This window comes from Homo sapiens, chromosome 12, assembly GCF_000001405.40.
Source record: "Homo sapiens chromosome 12, GRCh38.p14 Primary Assembly".
Classification (NCBI taxonomy): Eukaryota; Metazoa; Chordata; class Mammalia; order Primates; family Hominidae; genus Homo; species Homo sapiens.
Genome location: NC_000012.12, coordinates 62511073 through 62536013, shown reverse-complemented (window position 1 = coordinate 62536013; position 24941 = coordinate 62511073). Strand labels below are relative to the sequence as shown.

The window sequence follows — 24941 nt, the reverse complement described above, 5'->3', positions numbered from 1 at the left end:
ACTTATGTTTGCATTATATACCTATTCACATTATATACTTATCCAATGAGCCTTTCCTTTGTCATGTTGGTGCTCAACAAGTTTTAGATTTTGCAGCATTTTAGATTCTGGATTTTTGGATATCCCATGCCCACCCCCCACCCCCCACCCCATATTTTTAAAGAGCTCTCAGGGACATTAATTTCCCCAAGGTCACACAGTCAGTATGTGAAAAAGCAGAGACTTAAACTCAGATGTTTATAATCTTCTGTCTACACCATATCATCCCACTACATAGAGAGAATTTTGAGTAAGCCTGTCTTACATTTGTTGGAAAGTGTAGCTGCAGTGGTGGTATTCAATACAGTAAGAGCATAATGGGGAGGCAGGGAACCTTTGCATATTGCAGTTATAAAGGCATCTCTTGAAGTTACAAGGCCCAGTCTTCCACAAAGAGCAGCCATAGTCAGTTCAGCTTTTAAAATATTCTCAGTGGCAGCTTCATCTGTGCTGAAAAGAAAGTATTTTATTTAATCTGATTAACTTATTTTTAATTACATTGTAAAGCATGATGTGGAATTAAGTATTCAGTGACATTTTAAGAAAATCTATACAAAAATATTGTCAAAATATTACCAATATACTTAAGAAGGAATTTTAATCTATTAACATAACCTCAAAAATTTGAACTGGGTAAAAGCAATGAATAATAATACATGTATTTATTACTGAAGAAAATGACCAAGAACATAAAGATTTAGCTTAAAATATCAAGCATTTTGAAACCAGTAAATTTTTAAATCCTAAAGAAAAAGAACAAAGAAATTAAATATAATCATAATTGCAAAAGTAGTTGTAAGTCTTGAAATGAAAAAGGCATTCTGTAATTTTAGGACTGTATTTTCCATTAAAACATCATGACAATTCTGGTGGCTTGGGGCAGGGCAAGGACAGAATGAGGAAGGGGGATGAGGGAAAAAGAATAATGTTTCACACATATAAAAAACTAATATTAGAAAATAATTCTAGGGACAAATGTAAGTAAACCATTTTAATGTGTTTTTTTTAACTGACACAGTTCAATATAAAACTTACAAAGACTTAATACCTGGCATCAAGAAGGAGTGAGAGTGCAGCAAGAAGACCACACCAGCAGGCATTCACCATTTCTTCCCAAACAGCCCTACTAACTTAAAGGAAAAAAACATACAATATTTAATTTTAATTATAGATAGCACAATATGTATTAATATGTGAAATTCTAAAATTTTCCCAGACAATATGTCAAATATTCCATTAACAACTTAATTATTAAATCTAATATTCAGTATTTAAAAATCTAAAAGAACGAAAACTCAGAAGCCGTACTATAGTTTCAGGCTTGAAGAAGTCTTAAAAATAAGTTGTTGTAAAATATCTATGGTAAGATCTTTCTGTACACGTTAAATTTTATATATATATATAAAATATATATATATATATATATATATATTTTTTTTTTTTTTTTTTTTTTTTTGCGATGGAGTCTTGCTCTGTTGCCCAGGCTGGAGTGCAGTGGCATGATCTTGGCTCACTGCAACCTTCGCCTCCTGGGTTCAAGAGATTTTCCTGCCTTAGCCTCCTGAGTAGCTGGGATTACAGACACACGCCACCACACCTGGCTAATTTTTGTATTTTTAGTAAAGACAGGGTTTCACCATGTTGGTCAGGCTGGTCTCAAACTCCTGACCTCGTGATCCACCCACCTCGGCCTCCCAAACTACTGGGATTACAGGCGTGAGCCACCACGCCCAGCCATTTTTTTTTTTAAGAGACAGGGTCTTGTTATGTTACTCAGACTGGACTCAAACTCCTGGGCACAAGCAATCCTCCTGCCTCAGCCTCCCAGGTAGCTGGGATTATAGGCACATGCCACTATGCCCAGCTGATATCCTTTCCTTTCCCTTTGCCTTCATCAACCCAAACTTTCTCAGCCTGTGTGACCAGTTGGAGTGAGGGCAGGGCGCAGTGTAACAAACTGGCTCAGCCAGGAGACTGATTACATACACTGAGAATCAAGCAAATAAGTAAATACACTGAGCAAAATGTGAGCAGGTTCCAACACTGTTGGAGAAGGGAATTACAAATACAGAAAGTTAAAAATAAACCTTGTGGTACTGAACTGGAACTGAAGAAACTAGTGTGATGTCATGGTAATTCAATATAGAGAAACAGACATTTTAGAAATGTACAGAGACGTGTGCTTGTGTGTGGGGGTGTGTGTATGTGGCTATGTATTTCCTATCCAAGTGGTGAAAAGCATACCTAGTATACCTGTGTTCGTTTCAATACTATTCTCCACTAAAAGGAACCAGGACTTCCTGGAGAAATGACTGACACCTGGGATGGACAAGAATCATCCAAGATCAGCCTGGAACATCTTGTTCTATCAAATAGGAAGTGCTCAGAGAATGTCAAAAGGGCATGGGACATGTCCAAAGGACACACGGGTCATCTTGAAAGAGGTCCCATTGGCCATGTTGGGAACAATCTGAGCATCAAACCAAATAATAATAAAGACTATAATCCTCTGAATAAAATAGGAATCCATGAATCTACACTAATATAAGTGAATAATTTTTAAAAAATAAAAAAATGCAGAAGGGAAAGCACTCTTTTGTAGTAGCAATCTGAAAGTATTTTTCCACAAAAAGTTAATAATTAACTGTACACTGAAGAAACCAGGCTGACATTGTATTAACCAACTCATAGAAGTGAGCATCTCCAATAATGACACAAATTGATACTGTAGTATGCTTCCTAATGTAATGATACAGTAAGTACAGCACAGCAACATTTCTGTGCCAGTCCTGTCAAAAATGAATAAGCTGAATGTAATTATGAAGGAACACAACACAAACTCAAACTGACTGACTTGTACTCAAAAAAGTAAGGTCATATAAAACAAGGAAAAACTAAGAAACTTCCAAGTTGAGACATGGCAACTAAATTCAACACATAAAAGGACATCACTAGGGCAACTGGCAAAATTTGAATGAGACCTGGAGTTAGATGATAATATTGTATTGATGTTAAATTTCTGATGGTGATTGTACTATGATACACAGGAGACTAACCTTATTTTGAAAAAATACACACTGATGCATTAAAGGGTAGTAATACGGCATCATGTCTGCAACTTTTTCTATAAATAGGTCAGAAAAAAGTATAGTCACATGTATATAATTCAAGAAAATGGTAAGGTAAATGTGGGAAAGTGGTTAACACTTGAGAAGTCAGGGTGAAAGATTTATAAAGACTACAATTTTTGCAAATTGTAAATTTCAAATTATTTCCAATAAAAATTAAAAATACAGACTCATACCAATTTCCTTATCCATTTGGTCTGATGTTGACTGTAAATCCTGCTGTTCTGTCGACTGTGTTGGTGAAGAACCTTCTTCAGTGGTGGTTTGACATTCTGTTTCAAGCTCTCCTAGCTCTCCTTCAATCATACTTGTGATTCCACGAACAAGGTCTAGCAAACAATGGAATGCCACAGACATGGCGTAACCTTCAGGTATAGTTGGAGGCTCAACTTTGTCCAACATTTCTAAGCTGAAATTATGAAAAATATAGAATACTAATGAGAAGCCACAACAAAAAAAATACATAAAACTATTTTCTACAATTTACAGACTATAGAAATTAAGATTAACAGAATAGCAAAAAATAAAGGGACATTACCAAATTTCTTTCATTTAGGGAAGAGATCTCTTCATGGTATTCTAAAAACCTGATTAGAAAAATTAAGGCCTGACCACTGCCATAACTAATTATTTTAATAATTTACTTCTCATTCTCCCCTGAGTTGTGCCAATGTTTTCATTAAATATTAGATATTAGAAAAATTAAGACTGACATGCAAAATACAATGAGATAAAACTTCTTAAACTCTGACTTGTGCCTTAAAAATAAGATGCCATTGGCCGGGCGTGGTGGCTCACGCCTGTAATCCAAGCACTTTGGGAGGCCGAGGTGGGTGGATCACGAGGTCAGGAGATCAAGATCATCCTGGCTAACACAGTGAAACCCTGTCTCTACTAAAAATATAAAAAATTAGCCAGGCGTGGTGGCAGGTGCCTGTAGTCTCAGCTACTCGGGAGGCTGAGGCAGGAGAATGGCATGAACCAAGGAGGCAGAGCTTGCAGTGAGCCGAGATTGCGCCGCTGCACTCCAGCCTGGGCAACAGAGTGACACTCTGTCTCAAAAAAAATAAAAAATAAAAAAAAAATAAGATGCCATCAAATCAAATCACTCCTATGAAGAGGAAGATGCTTTTCATGCTGTGAGATGCCCAGCTCACCTATCATTTCAAATACAATCTGCCAACAAGGTGAGAATAAGAGCATCAGTGTGTCAAGTTCAAACTGCGGAGCAATTTTTTACCCCATAGTTAGGAGAAAGTTTTCAGAAGGAAGGACAATAAATCTGTTTTAAATCATGGCAGGTAGTGAACTATGGTTCTAAACCTCTTAAAATTGACATCTGGCAAAATAATTCCTGGAAAAAAGAGTAATTCAATTGACAAAGAACTAATGATTCTGGAACAACTGGATATTCACATGCAGAAGAGTGATGGTCCTATCTCACACCATATGCAAAATTAACTCCAAAATGAATCAATGATCTAAATGTAAGAGCTAAATCTATAAAAACTCTTAGAAGAAAACATGGGTAAAAATCTTCACTACCTCGGATTAGGCAAAGGTTTGTTAGATATAACACCAAAAGCACAAGCAACAAAGGAAAAAATTGATAAATTAGATTCATCAAAATTAAAAACAATTGTACTTCAAAAAGCAGCAATCAAGAAAATGAAAAGACCCACAGAATGAAAGAAAACTTTTGCAAATCACATATCTGATAAGAGACAGGCATCTAGAATATATAACTCTTAAAATTAAATAAGAAAAAGACAATCCAATTAAAAAGGAGCAATGAATCTGAATAGACATTTCGCCCAACATGACATATAAATGGCCAAGAAGCACACAAAAAGATGCTTGTCACCAGTAATTAGGGAATGCAAATCAAAGCATGGTAAGATATCATTTCATACTCACTGGGATGACTACGATAAAAAAGATTAACAAGCATTGCTGAGGATGTGGAGATATCTGAACCCTCCTCACACATTGTTGGTAGGAATGTAAAATGATATAGTTGCTTGGGAAAAGAGTTTGGCACTTCCTCAAAAATGTAAACATAGAGTGACCATATAACCCAGCAATTCCACTTACTAGTTGTATACCCAACAGAAATGAAAACACATGTCTATGCAAAAACTTACAGACAAATGCTCATGGTAGTATTATTCATAATAAACAAAAGTGAAAATAACCCAATATGCATCAATTAACTTAAAAAAAGTGATTCCATATATTGGAATATCATTCAGACATATAAAGGAATAAAGTATGAACACATTCTCAACACAGATGAACCTTCAAAACATTATGCTGGGCCGGACACGGTGGCTCATGCCTGTAATCCCAGCACTTTGGGAGGCTGAGGCAGGTGGATCACGAGGTCAGGAGATCGAGACCATCCTGGCTAACACGGTGAAACCCTGTCTCTACTAAAAAATACAAAAAATTAGCCGGGCATGGTGGCAGGAACCTGTAGTCACAGCTACTCGGGAGGCTGAGGCAGGAGAATGGCATGAACCTGGGAGGCAGAGCTTGCAGTGAGCCAAGATCACACCACTGCACTCCAGCCTGGGTGACAGAGCGAGACTCCGTCTCAAAAAAAAAAAAAAAAAAAAATTATACTGATGTGGGAGCTAAAAAAGTGGATCTCATTAAAGTAGAAAGCAGATTGGTGATTCCCAGGGGCCAGGAAGGGTGGAGGTTTGGGGGTAAAGAGAGGTTGATTAATAGGTACAAAAATACAGTTATACAGACAGGAATAAAATTTAGCATCTAACAGTTCAGTCGGGTAACTACACTTAACAATAATCTATTGCATATTTTTAAATACCTGGAACACACGAATTCAGATGTTCCCACCATAAAGAAAAGATAAATGTTTGAGGTGATAACACAATTACCCTGATTTGATAACTACACATTATATAAATGTATCAAAATATCACATTTACCCTGAAAATATGTACATTTATTACATAACAGTTGAAAAAAATTATGTTGCATCAAAGAAGTATGACACAAAATAACATTTATTGTGTGATTCCATTTATATGAAATATCCAGAATTGGCAAATCAATAGATGCAGAAAGCAGATTAGTGGTTGCTAAGGAGCTAGAAGAAGGGGGATTGGGAAATGACTGCTAATGGGTATGAGGTTTCTTTTAGGGGTGATGAAAACTTTCTGGAATTAGGTAGTAGTAATGGTTGTACAACTTTGTAATATAATGAAACCATGAATTGTACACTGTAAATGGGTGAATTTCATGAGATATGAATTATCTCAAAAGTAAAATTGAAATTACTAAAGATTACAATAAAAAAGCTAAGAAAATGTCCTACCTCAAAATCTTAAAGTTTCTGAATCATCAAGGTAGGTAATTAATAAAGAAATGCTAAATTAAAAAAAACATAATAAGAACATCTATATATAGTGATCATTCACTGAGCAAATACTCTTAGCCTGGGACTCTACTTTTTTAATATGTATTATCTCATTTAACTCCTCACAAAAACCCTAAGAGACACAGAAATAAAACTGAGGACTAATATTACAGTTATTAATGAGAAGTTTTTAAAATCAAGTCTGACTGACACTAAAGCCTACCACTAATGTGTCAACTCTTGAGCTTTTAAAAATTTATGTAATCATTAGAAATATGTTTACATTGTTGATTATGAAATTTAAGTTCTAGAGCTGGAGGCTATTAGCAAACTAACGCCGGAACAGAAAACCAAATACTGCACGTTCTCACTTATAAATGGGGCTAAATGGTAAGAACTTATGAACACAAAGAAGGAAATACCAGACACTGGGGTGTACTTGAGGCGGGAGGGTGGGAGGAGAAAGAGGAGCAGAAAAGGTAACTATTGGGTACTGGGGTTAACATCTGGGTGATGAAATAATACATACAACAAATCCCCATGACACATGTTTACCTATTTAACAAACCTTCACATGTACCCCCAAACATAAAAGGAAAGTGAAAAACAGAAAGAAACTTAAGCTCAAATGGGGAGATAAATATCTGTTTACGGCTTTAATCTTTCCCAGGCCAATTAGCCTTTGAGAGCCACATCGTAAATAAATCAGTGTTAAGCATCTCATTAGACAAATTCCTATTCTCAAAGAATATGTGATCTATTGGGAAAATGTATCTAAAACATAAAATAATCCAAAACATCAGAAACTCCAATTCTCCAATTCTATGGCACAGACTTTAAGCACTAGAATAGTTAAGAGAAAGGGTAATTTATACTTTTTATTTATACCATAAACCTAAAAGAAAACACATACTTTCTTAACTCACTGTTTCAGTGCTACTTTATTAGAATTACTGCATAAATTCCACTTTGAGATAAAATGTAATGTATCTGTTTAAACATTTTAAACTTAAGGTCAAATTGCAAAAACTGTCACAAGTCCAACTTTGAAGGGATCTGTAGTGTAATAAATATAAAAGAATATGCCACCAATACTTACGTCCAAACTACTTCTATCTATATATCACTTAAGTTTTCAAATTATACTCAAGCAGTCAATAAAAGAACAGAATGCACAATCAAGATGTATACATATGCCTTCAAAGAAAATAGTGAAATCATTTTATATTGAACCTCACAATGAATTGAATAAAAGATGCCAATTCAACAGTTAAGCTCCAGTGTGAACATACTAACCCATGTACAAAAGAACACCCAATATTTTCTGGCCATTTATTATTTCAGAATTAAGCAATTTCAGTATGTATAGCACTAAAAAAAAATCTACACATATGTTCCTTTAGAGATTCAGTCCTAATCTTGTCTTAAAGAAGAGAAAATTAAGATCAAGTGAAATCAAGTGCTATACTCAAAATCACAGTATTTAGTAGCAGAACTAGTTAAAATCCAGTATCAATAAACAGTGTTGGTAGGCTTTTACTAATAAATTTTAAAAAGGAGTTCTACAACCCAGACAAGTATTTATTATTTTGTGGCTTGTTTCTTTTTTTTTTTTTCCTTCCTCAAGTACACATCTTCACTCCCTCCCTTTATGTGTCTGCTCAGTATTATTTCCTCAGGGAGACCCTTTCTGTCCCCATCTTCACCTTGGTCATTCTCTATGGCCTTAACTTGCTTTTTCTTCAAATTAACCACTACCCAAGGTTATATTATATATTTACTTGTGTATTTATTTATTTACTATCTCACTCGCTAAAGTGTAAGCTCTATGAAGGCAAAAATTTTCTTCTGTGTTGGTTTATGTTCAGGTTATAAAATGAGGTGGGAAGGTGAACTAGATAATTAATGTCTCCTTTAGTGCTAGATATCTGATTCTTTTACAACTTAATTCTCTAGTATACTTGAGTCATTACCTTTTGTACAAGGCAAAGCCTATAAAATACTAAGTGATTTGAATATAAATGACTAAAAATAACAATGAACTTAAAATATTTCAGTCTTCTATGACTCTATACTTTTATAATTTTATGCAAAATAAAGCTGTAAGGTAAAATATACCTAGGATGATACAATGCAGACTGACACACCAGAGAAACTGATGATTTTAACTAGCCGAAGACTCTGTTTCATTTCTATTTTTTTTAAGAGATGGGGTTTCACAGTTACCCAGGCTGTACTCCAACTCCTGAACTAAAGTGATTCTCCTGCCTCAGCTTCCTGAGTCTGTTTCATATTAAGTCTTGATTTATGTCATAAGGATAGTTTTATTTTATTTTTAGACAGAGTCTCACTCTGTCACCCAGGCTGGAGTGCAGTGACATGATCTCAGCTCACTGCAACCTCTGCCTCCCAGGTTCAAGCGATTCTCTTGCCTCAGTTTCCCGAGTAGCTGGGATTACAGGTGCACACCACCATTCCAGCTAATTTTTGTATTTTTAGTAGAGATGGGGTTTCACCACATTGGCCAGACTGGTCTCGAACTCCTGACCTCAAGTGATCTGCCCACATCGGCCTCCCAAAATGCTGGGATTACAGGCATGAGTCACTGTACCTGGCCAAGGATAGTTTTAATTATACATACCAATTACTCAAAATATATCTATAACTGCCTCATAGTAACTATAGCAATGTTAAATCCATGTAGTATTGATTGCCTTATTTCTGTAAGTACTGTATCTCATTAAGACTTAAGAAAAAATCAGTAATACATTATTGAGTATGCATTTGTTAAATTGAAATGGCTAATGACAAACAATTTAAAAATAACAGATATGGAATCCATTAAACACTTTTTAATTAATTAAAAACTAAAATTTTCATGTGTTTAACCCTAACAATATGATTAGATAAGCACTTAAAACAACTTTTCTTACATATAGAATTCTGAAAATTAGATATATCACTACTCCCATTGTATAGATGAGAGAAATGAGGTTTAAAAAAAAGAAAAAAAGATTAATTTGCTGACAGTAACTCAGCTAATATTAGAAGACCTAAGCCCAAGTGGTCTGAAACTAATTCATATACTTAAACCAAAAAGCTGTATAGGAGAGCTAATAGGTCCATATGTAAAGAAATCACATTTTGTTTTATAATGCTGTTAGTCTACAAACAGCACAAAAGAAAACAAATAAAATCCAGTCCTAGATACAATTTTCAAAATATGACGAAAGAAAATGAGCTCTAAAATACCTTAGAAGTAGTGGGTCTAAAATTTAAAATACAATAGAGAAGAATTTTAGGTTAAATATCACCCCCAACAACATCATTCCTTATAAAATAATGCTGCTACTACTTACTAGGTGGCTTTAGCACTGCCTTGAACTGTGATTGTCAGAATAGGTATCCAGGTTCCCCTATATTCAAATGCTGGTAGCAAAGTAACACCTCCACCAATCCCCACCATTCCTGAGTTAGCTGGTGCTGAGACTGAGCCACCTAAATTATTGTTTCCTGTTAGAGAAGAAGGGAAAAAAAGAAAAGACACTAATTTACTACTTGACTACAAATCAGTAATAGTCAAACACCTGGCCAATCTTTAAAAAAAATTTCTGTGCTATCAGAATGGGTATTGCAGAAATAAATGAAATTTATCAGTACTACTTTGTCTATCAGAGAATGTTCCTATTTCCCTAAAATACCATTTCCCTTTTTAAAATAAAAGCTGCTAGGGGAAGTAAAAATGCTGATAAATGTTTAGCCTTTCATTAGACCACTTTTTATCAGAAGTGGGAATAAAGTATACAAAACCATCACTCAGTACAAAGTGGAAGAGAAAGAAGGTAAAGGGAAACAACAAACCATACAGATTCCCAAACTCCAATGACCATGTTAACCCCTTTAAGAGAGGGACTAAGTCTTCCTAAGGTGGTAACCATCTAGACTCTTCAAAGGGAGTCATCAAATAAAGGTTCTTTTAAAATGAAGATTAGCATCTAAACTTTTGTTCTTATGTGATCAGAGAAACTGAAAGTATGTCAGAGAAGAAAATCTATTCTGGAAAAAAGAAACACAACTGCTTCATTGAGATCAGATTATTCTTTCAGTGCAATTCTTTACTACCAACATGTTTAGGTAACCCAAATTTCTCTAGTCACAGAATTTCATAATATCCTCTCAGAACAGTCAATACTGTAACTTACGGCAGAATATAAGAAACAAAATTATGAATATGTTTTTACCAGCTTGGTTGCTTGTTGCAGGATTTCCAGTAGGGGGGACAAGAAACAAGGACTGTATAAAAGATCCCAGTGCATTTACAATATCACGAAAAACCTTGGTAGAATGCTGTTTCATATCATAGGACTGACAAAATGACCTGTAAAATAATTTAAAAGGTTTTTGGGAAAAACATTTGAATATATTAAAAACTGTAAACCTTTTTATAGCAAGTGATATTACTATAAGAGTTACCAAACTATACTAAAACATTCTTCATTACAACTCAGTAATTTTACCAATTTAGGACAAAGGTTCAGATAGAGGTCACAGTTCTAAAAAAATTATTTTGGCTATATTAAATCAGTAAATTCAGACTGATGTCTATCACTCACCACATGTGTTTACCTCACAGTTCTTTTCCACATCTACACGCCCTACCCGTCCTTATAGATACAATACCCTATTTTCTTTGTTTAGAAATCACTAATATTGGGAATAAATACCAAAAGTCTTCTGACTAGTTTATTAACCTATTATAGGTTAGTTTACAGGTTAATAAACATTAACCTATCTATTTAACAAACTATTGCTGAGGTTTTACCTTAATAGTTGAGGCTGCACACAGAATCTGTGTATTGATTCCACCGCAACAGCTCGTAGCCACTGTGGTTTATCTGCATCCAGAAATTTCACCAGAAGTGACAGAAATATCTCACATTCAGTTACCTAAAAATATATGATTTTTAATACTATTTCTTTGAATCAAAGAGAAGAATTATAGACTGTGTTCTTATTCTTAACTTAGTGCTATGGACAAACCAATAAAATCTTTTAGATTAGAAATCAAACTCTTAATGGGGAGTGGAGAAACAGAGAAAGGAAATGTAGTTATACATGGAAACATTAACAGTAAAAATAATCACAGTGTTTCTCTAAATATATACCTGAAAACATTAGTAATCTGCTAATACGGTTAATCCTTTATCCTTGCTCTTTAGAAAGCAGATAATACCATCATGCCATCTCCATTTCTAAAAACTGCCAGACAGCATGTACCACATAAACTGCTGACAGGATGCACGTTCTACTCTTCAGAGCAGTTTTTTCCATACTTTCTTTTGCTACTAAAGAAACAAAGAGGCAAGCCAAAGGGTGCTTAGTATAAATTTTATAGTAGAAAAATAAGGAGGAACCTATAGCAGTTGACAGATGTAAAGTATATAACTATTAGAACAGGGCCTGTACTGCTAATTAAGTATTAATTATCATTACTGTTGTTGCTAATATAGACCATTTCTCAGCAAGCTCTTTATAAATAAATAATGTTCAAGGCACACCCAAGGCATTAATCATTACATGTCTGATAACTGAATGAACAAACAAAAGCTAACCCGTTCATCCAAAGGTAAATGGATTGTTTTTGTTACTTATTAATTGACAATACAGCAGGACCTCTGGGAGGTAAAAATTAAGCTGACATGGTGATTATTAGGCCAAACTGATTCTTGCTACTAGGTACAGCAAGTTATTGGATGTTTTAGCTGGGGTATCTCAAAATGAGTGAACCATAATGTGAGACAAGAAATTTGGGGAAATATAGTAGCCCTCAGGCTTTTAGTGCAAAGTCTTAGCTGCTAGTATTTTCTAATGCCTTTCAGTATCTTTAACTGGATGCTTAAAAAAAGGACATAATCATAATGACACAGTAGGAGGAATAACTAAAAACAACATTATCATTTAGACTGCTAATGACTGGGTAAGTATATGCAGAGGCTTGTCATTGTCCTAAACATGATAAAGCTTAGTTTAAAGGAACTAGATCAGGAGTCAGGTGGCTCAACTTCTTTATCCAGCAACCTTGTGCGTAAGGACAAGCATGGTTGCCTTTCTTATAAATAAAGGATGAAAATATCTACATCTTTCTGGGAAATCAAATGAGAAAAATGTAAGAATAAAAACATCCCCTAAACATGACAAAGTGCCATGCAAATGAATAGGGCATTATTTTTTCTAAACAAAATGACACCTCTTTAGAGGAAGAACTGAGAAAGAAAGACCCATGCTAGTGACTCATTGGACAACAGCTCTATCTACTGGAGGGTTTGAATATTAGTAAGCCCTTCAACAAGTGCAATATCAGCTTTACAAGTGGCATAAGTGGCATATAAGTGTGTGTGAATGAATTTAAGGTTCATCAGCTAAGCTTTGAGGCAAGAATACAAAGGATCTCAGAAACATCAAGTATATTACAGCCGAAGGAATAACATTATAAAACTTGCCTTGAAAGCATATCATTTTTTCTCTATGACACAATGACTATAACACAAACCAATTATTTATCAATTTATACTGGAACCACTAAAATCTTATGATTTGGGTAAAAAAGAGAGGCTCTCTCCTGAAGTCTAGAACCTTGTTCTCCTTTTGTTTCTTCTTGTCAAGTGTGAAAGTTTGAGCAGAGAACTAGTGTTGAGAGCACTGAACACTGAACAAGGGCCTCAATGGAGAAAACCTACTATGAATCTGTTAAGACTTTCCCCCAAGTGGCTGCACTTATAAGGAAACAGGTATTAAGATTAGCACTTATGGTATAAATCCAATTTTTGTGACCCAGATATGTCATAAACTCCACTATACCAACATGAAGGGTGATGAATGTTTTTGAACTCCTGTAGTACTTTGGTAGTAGATTATTATCTAAACGTCAAGAGACATCTGATGGCTTAAGATGAATCAAAGTTACTGAGGTAGACATTCTAATCTCAATATCACATAGATATCTATTAAAGAATCCTGTATGTAAGAGTTGACTTGGCAGACAATGAAGAAAATCTGGTAGCACATTCATGTAGGAGTCTATTTGTCAGGAGCTTGTCCGAGTTAACAACCTTGGAGCTAATAGATTTGGTAGTGATGAGATCTTTTGTTAGAGAAATGTCTGTGAAGAAGTAGAAAATTAGTTTGGACAAGGCAATTTAGCCTCATTGATTCCTTTCTAAAAACAGTAAGTCAAGGGCAGAAAAGAGATATGCTAGCCTCTTTTTTTTTTCTCTTTTGAGACAGTTTCACTCTGTTGCCCAGGCTGAAGTACAGTGGCTCAGTCTTGGCTCACTGCAACCTCCACCTCCTGGGTTCAAGTGATTCTTGTGCCTTAGCCTCCTGAGAAGGTGGGATTACAAGCCACCATGCCCAGTTAATTTTTGTATTTTTAGTAGAGATGGGGTTTCGCCATGTTGGTCAGGATGGTCTCGGACTCCTGACCTCAAGTGATCCACCCGCCTTGGCCTTCCAAAGTGCTGGGATTATAGGCGTGAGCCACCACACCCAGCCACTAGCCCCTTATAATTAAGTTTCATAAATTCCTTAAGGGTACTTGTTTAAGGAATATGTGGGTACACATCCTAAGTGATTCAGAGAGCAGAAAAGCACCTACCTTGGATGACAGAAAGGGAAAATAATATAGTATAGTAGCTATTAATATACCTAATGAGTGAGAAATTCTAATTTCTAAATTCTAATGAGTGATAAATTCTAATATACCTAATGAGTGAGAAATTCTAATTTCCTCTAGTCACTCTAGATGTATTAACAGAACCTTTAAAGATTAATTATCTTCACCCTTGAACTACCTGATAGAGTGAGATAACCTGGTGAATACTGGGAAGCACATAATTCTCTAGGGTAGTCATTCCCAAAGTGTGGTCCCTGGGCCCCTTAGGAGTCCCTGAGACCATTTCAGGTGGTCTGCAATTTCAGACTTATTTTCATAATAATATATTATTTGCCATTTTCAATGCACGTGGGCCAAATGGCTGGTGCCTTAGCAGAAATCAAGGCAGTAACCCCAAACTGTACTAGTGTCATTGGATTCTTCACTGCCACGTATGATTTTAAAAAACAAAAATGGTTTTACTTAAGAACCATAATAAACGGGCCGGGCAAGGTGGCTTATGCCTGTAATCCTTCCACTTTGGGAGGCTGAGGTGGGTGGATCACTTGAGGTCAGGAATTCAAAACTAGCCTTGCCAACACAGTGAAACCCCGTGTCTACTAAAAATATTTTTAAAATTAGCCAGGCATAGTGGCAGGCACCTGTAATCCCAGCTACTTGGGAGGCTGAGGCAGGAGAATCGCTTGAACCTGGGAGGCAGAGGTTGCAGTGAGCCGAGATCGCGCCACTGCACTCCAACCTGGGCAATGAGAGTGAAATTCCATCTTTAAAAAAAAAGATTAATTTTTTTTTTAAAAAAGAGCCATAATAAACAAAACTAAAATAAAAATAAAATAGATTGATTTTGTTAAATCTGACCCATAAGTACATGTCTTTTTTTTTTTGAGATGGAGTCTCAAAAAAAATAATATCTTTACATATTATATAATATATAATTATATATATATATTATTATACATATAATATCTTATATACTTTGGATATTTTGGTGCCTGCCACCACACCCGGCTAATTTTTTGTATTTTTTAGTAGAGATGGGGTTTCACCAGGTTGGCCAGGTTGGTCTCAAACTCCTGACCTCAGGTGATCGGTCTCCTAAAGTGCTGGGATTACAGGCGTGAGCCACTGCGCCTGGCCAAGTACATGCCTTTTTAATGTTCCTTGTGACAAAACAGGAAGTACACATGAAGCGTTTTTACTGTGTATCAAAGTACCATCATTGTTGGAAGAAAAGCATAGCTGTGAACTGAGCTAGTCTTTTTACCCTGTGGAATAACATTTTCACTGAAAAAGCAAACAGTAAATCATGATTATTTACATTTGTATATACTGTACAAACAGTTTCTCAAAAATAAAGTACGCCTGTCACTTTAGGGTAAACAACTGACAGTGTTTGTTGCCAATAATAAAATTTGAGCTTTCAAACAAAAATCAGAATTTAAAAAAACTTGTATCTACCCTATAACCTAAGACTCTTCTGATATATGGTGGTGATATTAACAAATGTAATATTTGCAGGAAGTGATAACATTTGGAATATCTACACAACTAAAATACATGATGTTACAAAATCATGCATGACTAAAAGATCCATTTGAAATGTAAGACCAATGAAATGAATTTTACTGTAACACAGTATAAAAACGTTTCAGATCCTAGACCTGTAAGAAAGTGTCGGCAGGGTGTGGTGGCTCACGCAGTAATTCCAACACTTTGGGAGGCAGAGGCGGGCAGATCACGAGGTCAGGAGATCGAGACCATCCTGGCTAACGGGGTGAAACCCCGTCTCTACTGAAAATACAAAAAATTAGCCGGGCGTGGTGGCAGGCGCCAGTAGTCCCAGCTACTCAAGAGGCTGAGGCAGGAGAATGGCATGAATCCAGGAGGCGGAGTTTACAGTGAGCCGAGATCACGCCACGGCACTCCAGCCAGGGTGACAGAGCGAGACTCCGTCTCAAGAAGACAAACAAAAAAAGAAAGTGTACCGTTTGGTATAGTATCAAAGAAGAATATCCACCATTATTATCTAAAAAGGCCATTAATATAATTCTGCCTTTCAACTACATGTCTTTATGAAGCCAGATTTTCATCGTTATGTGTCAACCCAAAAAAAATCACAACAGAATGAAGACAAAAGATATGAGAATCCAGCTGTCTCCTATTAAGCCAGACATTCAAGACATTTACATTTGGAAAACGTAAAATAATTTTTTCTTTAAAACATAATTATTTTTCATAAAAATTTATGTTAACATGTAATAGGTTTAGTATCATTTCAGCTTTAATTCTTAATAAAGTAAATAATGATAGAAATAACTCACATGCACAAAAGCTCCTAAATATTTTTTAAGAATATAAAGGGGTCACTGTTTTCATAGGGCATTCAACATGATTTATTTATTTTGGGTCCTGATACCTCTGTCTTGGATCCCCAAGTGTCACTCCCTCCCAGCATTCCCCTCTCACCACCCACCCCCAGTATCACTCAGCTGAGGCGATTTCAGGGACTAGTAGGGACACAAAGGGCTGAATGATTGGAACGGTGGTGTGCTGCTAGAGGTGGCAGACAGCCAGGGCGTCCCCAGTGCCTTTCTGCTCTGGAACATTCTGTGACCCGTCGGGGTGTTTTGAATGGTAGCACCCCCTCTTCCACATGGTTATTTATTAAATGACCACTTCCTGTTGCAAAAAAAGTAATAAAAGAGTATAAAGCAGTCTTGAGACTAAAAAGTATAAGAATTATTCCTCTAGTATGTCTTCTAGGAGATGTACCATTTCCAGGTTTAAATAAAGAAAATACAGAGAAATAAGAGAGAGGCATCACACATCAACCATATATAGCTTGCCCCCCAACTACCAGGCATCTAACTTTTGCCCTTGAAGAAACTGTAGAATGCCTAATTTTTTCTAAGCTAAGATGTCCCAATGTAGCCAATTACAATACTGAGGAATTACTTTCTTATATATATCTGAAAATCTCAACTTTGCCAACTCAGTCCTAGAGTTCCTTATTAGGAACCAATGTTTTACCAGTTGATCATCACCCACAGTTCACAAGTAAAGCAGGAAAACAGGCCTTCCTCTTCCTTTAGGCAGTAACTTTCCATTTTTTTCTGTTGCTGGCTGTGCTGTCATTTGTCCCACGTTGTCCCCCTACACCCCCACCAATTAAAGGGACAAAGGTCAAAATATGGAGAATGTTATAGAAGCAATACAAGAAACTTGGCACTGTCAGCCTTGGAGAAAGAAAAAAAAAGAGAGCGAGAACTAAGAAAACAGCGAAGTAGTAAAGTGTAGTGGGGTTAAAAGTGTGTTATGGAGCCTAAAAAATTAGTTAACACCCCAGTGTTGCAGCTTATAAACTGCATCATCTCAGGCAAACTATATAAGCATCCTGGTCCTCATTTTCTCAGCTATAAAACTCAAATATGAATGTCTGCTTCATAGGGCTGTAGTAAAGTTAAAATGTATTAATGTATGCAAAGCAATGCTATGGTCTAAATGTTTATACACCCCCAAAATTCATGTGTTGAAGCCTATTCCCCAGTGGGATGATATTTGAAGGTGGAGTCTTTCGGAGGAAATTAGGTTATAAGGCTGAAACCCTCATGAATGGGATTGTGCCCTTATAAGAAGATACTTGAGAGGCTTCTTCCTGTCTCTACTCTCCACCATTTAAGAATAAAATGAGAAGACAGACATCTGCAAACCAGGAAGTACACCCTTACCAGACACCAGATATGCTAGTAGCTTGATCTTAGACTTCTGAGGCTCCAGAACTTTGAGATTTAAGCTACACAGTTTCTGGCATATTTTATATAACAGCCCGAACTAAGACAATTACTTTGTACAGTGTCCAGAACAGATGAAATCAATAAAACAATTTCATCCAAAATGGAAATTACTGAGGAATTAAGATATCTGTATCTCTGAAAAGGTTATTAGATAAATTGTTAAATAACAGAATTGATAGACAGAAACCAAGTATCTCAGCTTGGCCCAAGTATCTTTAGTCTGTCATAACAAGATAACCAGAGACTGGGTGGCTTAAATGACAGAAATTTATTTGTTACAATTCTGGAGGCTGGAAATATGAGATAGAGATGTTAGCGTGTTCAGGTTCTGCTGAGGGCCCTGTTCTGAGCTTGCAAATGGATGCTTTCTTCCTTTGTCTTCACATGGTGGAGGGCAAGAAAGTGAGAGAGCAAGCATGCTCTGGTGTCTTTCTATGAGGGAACTAATCCCATCATGAGAGTCCCACCCTCATGCCTTCATCTAAGCCTAATTATCTCCCAAAGGCCACATATCCAAATACTGTCATGTTGGGGACTGGGGCTTCAATATATTAATTTTGGGGGATATAGTTCAACCCATAGCATCAAATTTTATTTTAAAAAAAAGATGATGATGATAAATAAGTTGGGAGGTCCTGGTTAGCAACAGAAACAAAATGTGAATTTTGCATTTGTTACTATGAAGATGTAACTAGGCTGCATTACTGAGGAGAACAGAATACTTGTTTTTCCAGGACTGACTAGTGGATATGAAAAGGAAAAGGGGAACTGTTTTCTCTTCCTATAGTCTTAACTTAATGTAGTTAAGAAACATTCTAAAGAAAGGAGGAGGAGGAACCCTTCTAAGACAGCCCTGCTAATATTTAGGGAACAAGTGAGGAAGTGGTATTTAGTTGGCCTAGTGACAGGAACAAAAACTTTCTAAACATTTGGACCACCATATGACCTGGCCACCTGATTTAATAGCAACTATGGCAACTACATTGGCCCTTAAAGTTCTTCTCCTTTTTAAAAATCCCTCCTATCCTGTTGACTTTCCATGGTGACTGATATTACTATATTGTAATTATTTTCATTTCCACTATTTTGTTTACTTAAAAATATTTTTTTTTAATTTTTATGAGTATATAGTAGGTATGTAACATTTATAGAGTAAATGAAATATTCTGATACAGGCATATAATGCATAATCATCACATCAGGGGAAATGGGCTACACATCACCTCAAGCATTTATCATTTCTTTGTGCTAAAACATTCCAATTATACTTATTTATTTATTTATTTATTTAGAGATGGAGTTTTGCTCTTGTTGCCCAGCCTGGAGTGCAATCGCACAATCTTGGCTCGCCGCAACCTCCGCCTCCTGGGTTCAAGCGATTCTCCTGCCTCAGCCTCCCGAGTAGCTGGGATTACAGGCATACACCACTATGCCAGAATAATTTTGTATTTTTAGTAGAGACAGTGTTTCTCCATGTTGGTCAGGCTGGTCTTGAACTCCCGACCTCATGTGATCTGGCCGCCTTGGCCTCCCAAAGTGCTGGGACTACAAGCGTGAGCCATGGCGCCTGGCCTCTTTTAGTTATTTTTGAATGTACATTATTGTTGACTAATCACCCTGTTGTGCTATCAAATACTAGATCTTATTCATTCTATCTACCCATATTTTTGTACCCATTAACCATCCCTACTTTCCCCCTGCTCCCCATCTCCACCACCCTTCCCAGCTGCTGGTAACCATCATTCTATTCTCTCTCTCCATTCGTTCAATTGTTTTAACTTTTAGCTCTTACAAACGAGTGAGAACATGTGAAGTTTGTCTTTCTGTGCCTGGCTAATTTCACTTAACATAATGTCCTGCAGTTCCATCCATATTGTTGCAAATGACAGGATCTCACTTTTCTTTTTATGGTTGAATAGTACTCCATTGTCTATATGTACTAACTTTTCTCTATCCATTCATCTGTCAATGGATACTTTGGTTGCTACTAAATCTTGGCAATCATGAATAGTGCTGCAATAAACATGGGAGTGCAGGAATCTTTTCAATATTAAAAAATATTTAATTGTGGTAAAACCATACAATATAAAACCCCAACAATATTTACGTGTACAGTTGAGTAGTATCAACTGTTTCACATCGTTGTGTAAAAAACTCTCTAGAACTTTTTTTTTTTTCCTGAGACGGAGTCTTGCTCTTGTCACCCAGGCTGGAGTGCAATTGTGTGATCTCGGTTCACTGCAACGTCTGCCTCCCAGATTCAAGCAATTCTCCTGCCTCAGCCTATCAAGTAGTTGGAATTACAGGTGTGCGCCACCACACCCAGCTAATTTTTTTGTATTTTTAGTAGAGACGGGGTTTCACCATGTTGGCCAAGGTCTCAAACTCCTGAGCTCAGGTGATCCATCCACCTTGGCCTTACAAAGTGCTGGGATTACAGGCATGCACCACTGCACCTGGGCTCTAGAACTTTTTTATCTTGCAAAACTGAAATGCTATACCCACTTAACACTAACTCCTTATCCCTTTGTCCTCCTGGTCCTTGGCAACGACCATTCCATTTTCTCTATGAATTTGACTACTCAAGGTACCACGCATAAGTGGAATTACACAGTAATTTGTCCTCTTGACTCACTTATTTCACTCAGCATAATGTCCTCAAAGTTCCAGTAACAGGATTTCCTTCTTTAAGGCTGAATGATATTCCAACATATGTATACACTGTATTTTCTTGGTTTGTTCATCTGACAATGAACACTGGAACTGCTTTCACCTCTTGGCTATTACAAAAATGCGACAATGAACATGGGTGTACAAGCATTTCTTTCAAATCACACTTTCAATTCTTTTGAATTTATATGCATAAGTAGTATTGCTGGGTCATATGGTAATTCTATTTTCAGGTTTTTGAGGAACCTCCATACTGCTTTCCATTGAGGCTGCACCATTTTATATTCCCACCAACAGTGCACAAGGGTTCCAATTTTCTCCACATCCTTGCCAACACTTGTTATTTTCTGGTGTTCTGTTGTGTTTTTAACAGTGACCACTCATGGGCATAAGCCTCATTACAGTTTTGCTCTGCATTTCTCTAATGATTGGAGATGTTGAGCATCTTTTCATATGCTTGTTGGACATTGGTATATCTTCTTTGGAGAAATATCTATTCATGTCCTGTGCCTATTTTTTAACATTAGTTTTTTGTTGTTGTTGAGTTGTAGGAGTTCTTTATATATTTTGAATATTAACCCTTTTCAGGTATGTAATTTGTGAATCTTTTCTCCCAAGTGTTGCCTTTTCACTCTGGATATGGTTTGGGGCTGTGTCCCCAACCAAATCTCATCTTTAATTCCCACGTGTTCTGGGAGGGACCCAGTGGGAGGTAATTGAATCATGGGGACAGGTCTTTCTCATGCTGTTATCATGATAGTGAATAAATCTCATGAGATCTGATGGTTTTAAAAAGGGAGTTTCTCTGCAAAAGCTCTCTTCTTGTGTCTACCACCATTTGTGATGTGCCTTTCACCTTCCTCCAAGATTGTGAGGCCTCGCCAGCCATGTGGAACTGTAAGTCCACTAATCTTCTTTATTTTGTAAATTGCCCAGTCTTGGGTATGCCTTTATCAGCAGTGTGAAAATGGACTACTACAGTAAATTGGAACCAGGAGTGGGGTGCTGTGGAAAAGATACCTAAAAATGTGGAAGTGACTTCGGAACTGGGTAACAGGCAGATGTTGGAACAGTTTGGAGGGCTCAGAAGAAGACACGAAAATGTGGGAAAGTTTGGAACTTCCTAGAGACTTGAATGGCTTTGACCAAAATGCTGATAAGGACATGGAAAATGAAATCCAGGATGAGATGGTCTCAGATGGAGATGAGGAACTTGTTGGGAACTGGAGTAAAGGTGACTCTTGTTATGTTTTAGCAAAGGGACTGGCAGCGTTTTGCCCCTGCCCTAGAGATTTGTGGAACTTTGAACTTGGGAGAAATGATTTAGGGTAACTGGCAGAAGGCATTTCTTTCTTTCTTTCTTTCTTTTTTTTTTTGAGATGGAGTCTCGCTCTGTCACCCAGGCTGGAGTGCAGTGGAGCGATCTCGGCTCATTGCAAGCTCTGCCTCCTGGGTTCATGCCATTCTCCTGCCTCAGCCTCCCCAGTAGCTGGGACTACAAGTGCCTGCCACCACGCTCGGCTAGTTTTTTTTTGTATTTTTTAGTAGAGATGGGGTTTCACCATGTTAGCCACGATGGTCTCGATCTCCTGACCTCATGACCCGCCTGCCTCAGCCTCCCAAAGTGCTGGGATTACAGGCGTGAGCCACCACACTCAGCCGGCAGAAGTCATTTCTAAGCAGCAAAGCATTCAAGAGGTGACTTGGGTGCTCTTAAAGACATTCAGTTTTAAAAGGGAAACAGAGCATAAAAGCTTGGAAAATTTGCAGCCTGACAATGCAATAGAAAAGAAAATCCCAGGCCGGGCGCAGTGGCTCATGCCTATAATCCCAGCACTTTGGGAGGCCGAGGCGGGTGGGTTGCTTGAGGTCAGGAGTTCAAGACCAGCCTGGCCAACATGGCGAAACCCGGTCTCTACTAAAAATACAAAAATTAGCCGGGTGTGGGGGCTCACACCTGCAATCCTAGCTACTCAGGAGGCTGAGGCAGGAGAATCACTTGAACCCAGGAGGCGGAGGTTGCAGTGAGCCAAGATGGGGCCACTGCACTCCAGCCTGGGATACAGAGCAAGACTCCATCCCTCCCCCGCAAAAAGAAAAGAAAATCCCATTTTCTGAGGAGAATTTCAAGCTGGCTGTAGAGATTTGCATAAGTAACAAGGAGCTGAATGTTAATCACCAAGACAATGGGGAAAATGTCTCCAGGGCATGTCAGAGATCTTTGAGGCAGCCCCTCCCATCACAGATCCAGAGGCCTATGAGGAAAACGTGGTTTTGTGGGCTGGGCCCAAGGTCCCTGTGCTGTGTGCTTGGTCCCCTGCATCCCAGCCACTCCAGCCGACTGAAAGGGGTCAACATAGAGCTCGGGCCGTAGCTTCAGAGGGTGCAAGCATCAAGCCTTGGCAGCTTCCACATGGTGTTGAGCCTGCGAGTGCAGAGAAGTCAAGAATTGAGGTTTGGAAACCTCTGCCTAGATTTCAGAAGATGTATGGAAACATCTGGATGCCCAGGCAGAAGTTTGCTGTAGGAGCAGGGTCTTCATGGAGAACCTCTGCTAGGGCAATACAGAAGGGAAATGTGAGGTCAGAGCCCCCACACAGAGTCCCTACTGGAGCACCGCCTAGTGGAGCTGTGAGAAGAGGGCCACCGTCCAGACACCAGAATGACAGATTCACCAACAGCTTGCACCATGCACCTGGAAGACCCACAGACACTCAACAGCAGGCCATGAAAGCACCTGGAAGGGAGGCTGTATCCTGCAAAGCCACAGGAGTGGAGCTGCCCAAGACCATGGGAACCCTCCTCTTGCATCGGTGTGATCTGGATGTCAGACATGGAGTCAAAGGAGGTCATTTTGGAGCTTTAAGATTTGACCGCCCTGCTGAATTTCGGACTTGCATGGGGCCTGTAGCCCCTTTGTTTTGGCAAGTTTCTCCCATTTAGAATGGCTGTATTTACCCAATGCTTGTACCCCCATTGTATCTAGGAAGTAATTAACTCGTTTTGATTTTACAGGCTCATAGGCAGAAGAGACTTGCCTTGTCTCAGTTGAGCCTTTGGACTGTGGACTTCTGAGTTAATGCTGAAATGAGTTAAGACTTTGGGGACTGTTGGGAAGGCATGATTGGTTTTGAAATATGAGGACCTATGAGACTTGGGAGGCCAGGGGCGGAATGATATGGTTTGGTTGTGTCCCCACCCAAATCTCATCTTGAATTCCTACGTGTTGTGGGAGGGACCTGGTGGGAGGTAATGAATCATGGGAGGCAGGTCTTTCCCATGCTGTTCTCATGATAGTAAGTCTCACAAGATCTGGTGGTTTTAAAAGGGGGGTTTCCCTGCATAAGCGCTCTTCTCTTGTCTGCCGCCATGTGAGATGTGCCTTTCACCTTCAGCCATGATTGTGAGGCCTCCCCAGCCACATGGAACTGTAAGTCCAATAAATCTCTTTCTTTTGTAAATTGCCCAGTCTCGGGTATGTCTTTATCAGCAGTGTAAAAACTAATACAACTCTGCTGGCTTCTTTCTTTGAGGTGTAGAAGATTTTAAGTTTGATGCAGTTCCATTTGTCTATTGTTGCTTTTGTTGCCTGTGCTTTTAGTATCACAGTCAGGAAATCACTGTGAAATCCAATGTCATAAAGATTTTCCCCTATGTTTTCTTTTAGGAATTTTTTAGTTTTAAATCTTGTGTTTAGGTCATGAATCCATTTTGAATTATTTTTTGTACATGGCATAAGGTAAGGGTCTAACCTCATTCTTTTGCATGTGAATATCCGGTTTTCCCAGCATAATGGTTAAAGAGACTATCCTTTCTCCACTGACTGGTCTTGGCACCCTTTTCAAAGATCACTTGACCATATATATGAGAGTTTATTTTTGGGCTCTCCATTCTGTTCCATGGGTTTTTGTGTGTGTCTTTATGCCAGTACCACTTTATGCTATTCTGATTACTGTAGCTTTGTAATATGTTTTGAAATCAGGGAGTGTGAGACTTCCAACTTCGTTCTTTTTTCTCAAGATAGTTTTGGCAATTTGGGGTCCCTTGAGATTCAATATGAATTTTAAGATGGTTTCTTCTACTTCTGCAAAAATTGCTGTTGGAATTTTGATAGGAACTGCATTTAATTCATAGATCTCTTTAGATTATATGGACATTTTAACAATTTTAAGTCTTTTAATCATGAACACTGGATATCTTTCCATTTCTTTGTGTCTTAAATTTCTTTCAATAATGTTTTATAGTTTCCAGTG

General features: G+C 37.7%; 1 protein-coding gene across 15 annotated transcripts in view; it reads right to left on the bottom strand.

Moving 5' to 3' along the window:
• Positions 1-24941, bottom strand: part of MON2 (MON2 regulator of endosome-to-Golgi trafficking) — a 133651-nt gene that overhangs the window by 64463 nt on the left and 44247 nt on the right. For 13 of the 15 annotated variants that reach the window (XM_017019045.2, XM_047428542.1, XM_017019043.2 and 10 more), the window contains 6 exons: positions 11375-11499; positions 10794-10930; positions 9912-10065; positions 3344-3576; positions 1088-1169; positions 305-489 (listed from right to left, as the gene is read on the bottom strand). In XM_017019045.2, the coding sequence (XP_016874534.1) occupies positions 305-489; positions 1088-1169; positions 3344-3576; positions 9912-10065; positions 10794-10930; positions 11375-11499 (916 nt within the window). Of the gene's footprint in view, positions 1-304; positions 490-1087; positions 1170-3343; positions 3577-9911; positions 10066-10793; positions 10931-11374; positions 11500-24941 lie in introns of those variants that run through there. The other 2 variants (NM_001278471.2, XM_017019046.2) reach the window with 2 other exon arrangements.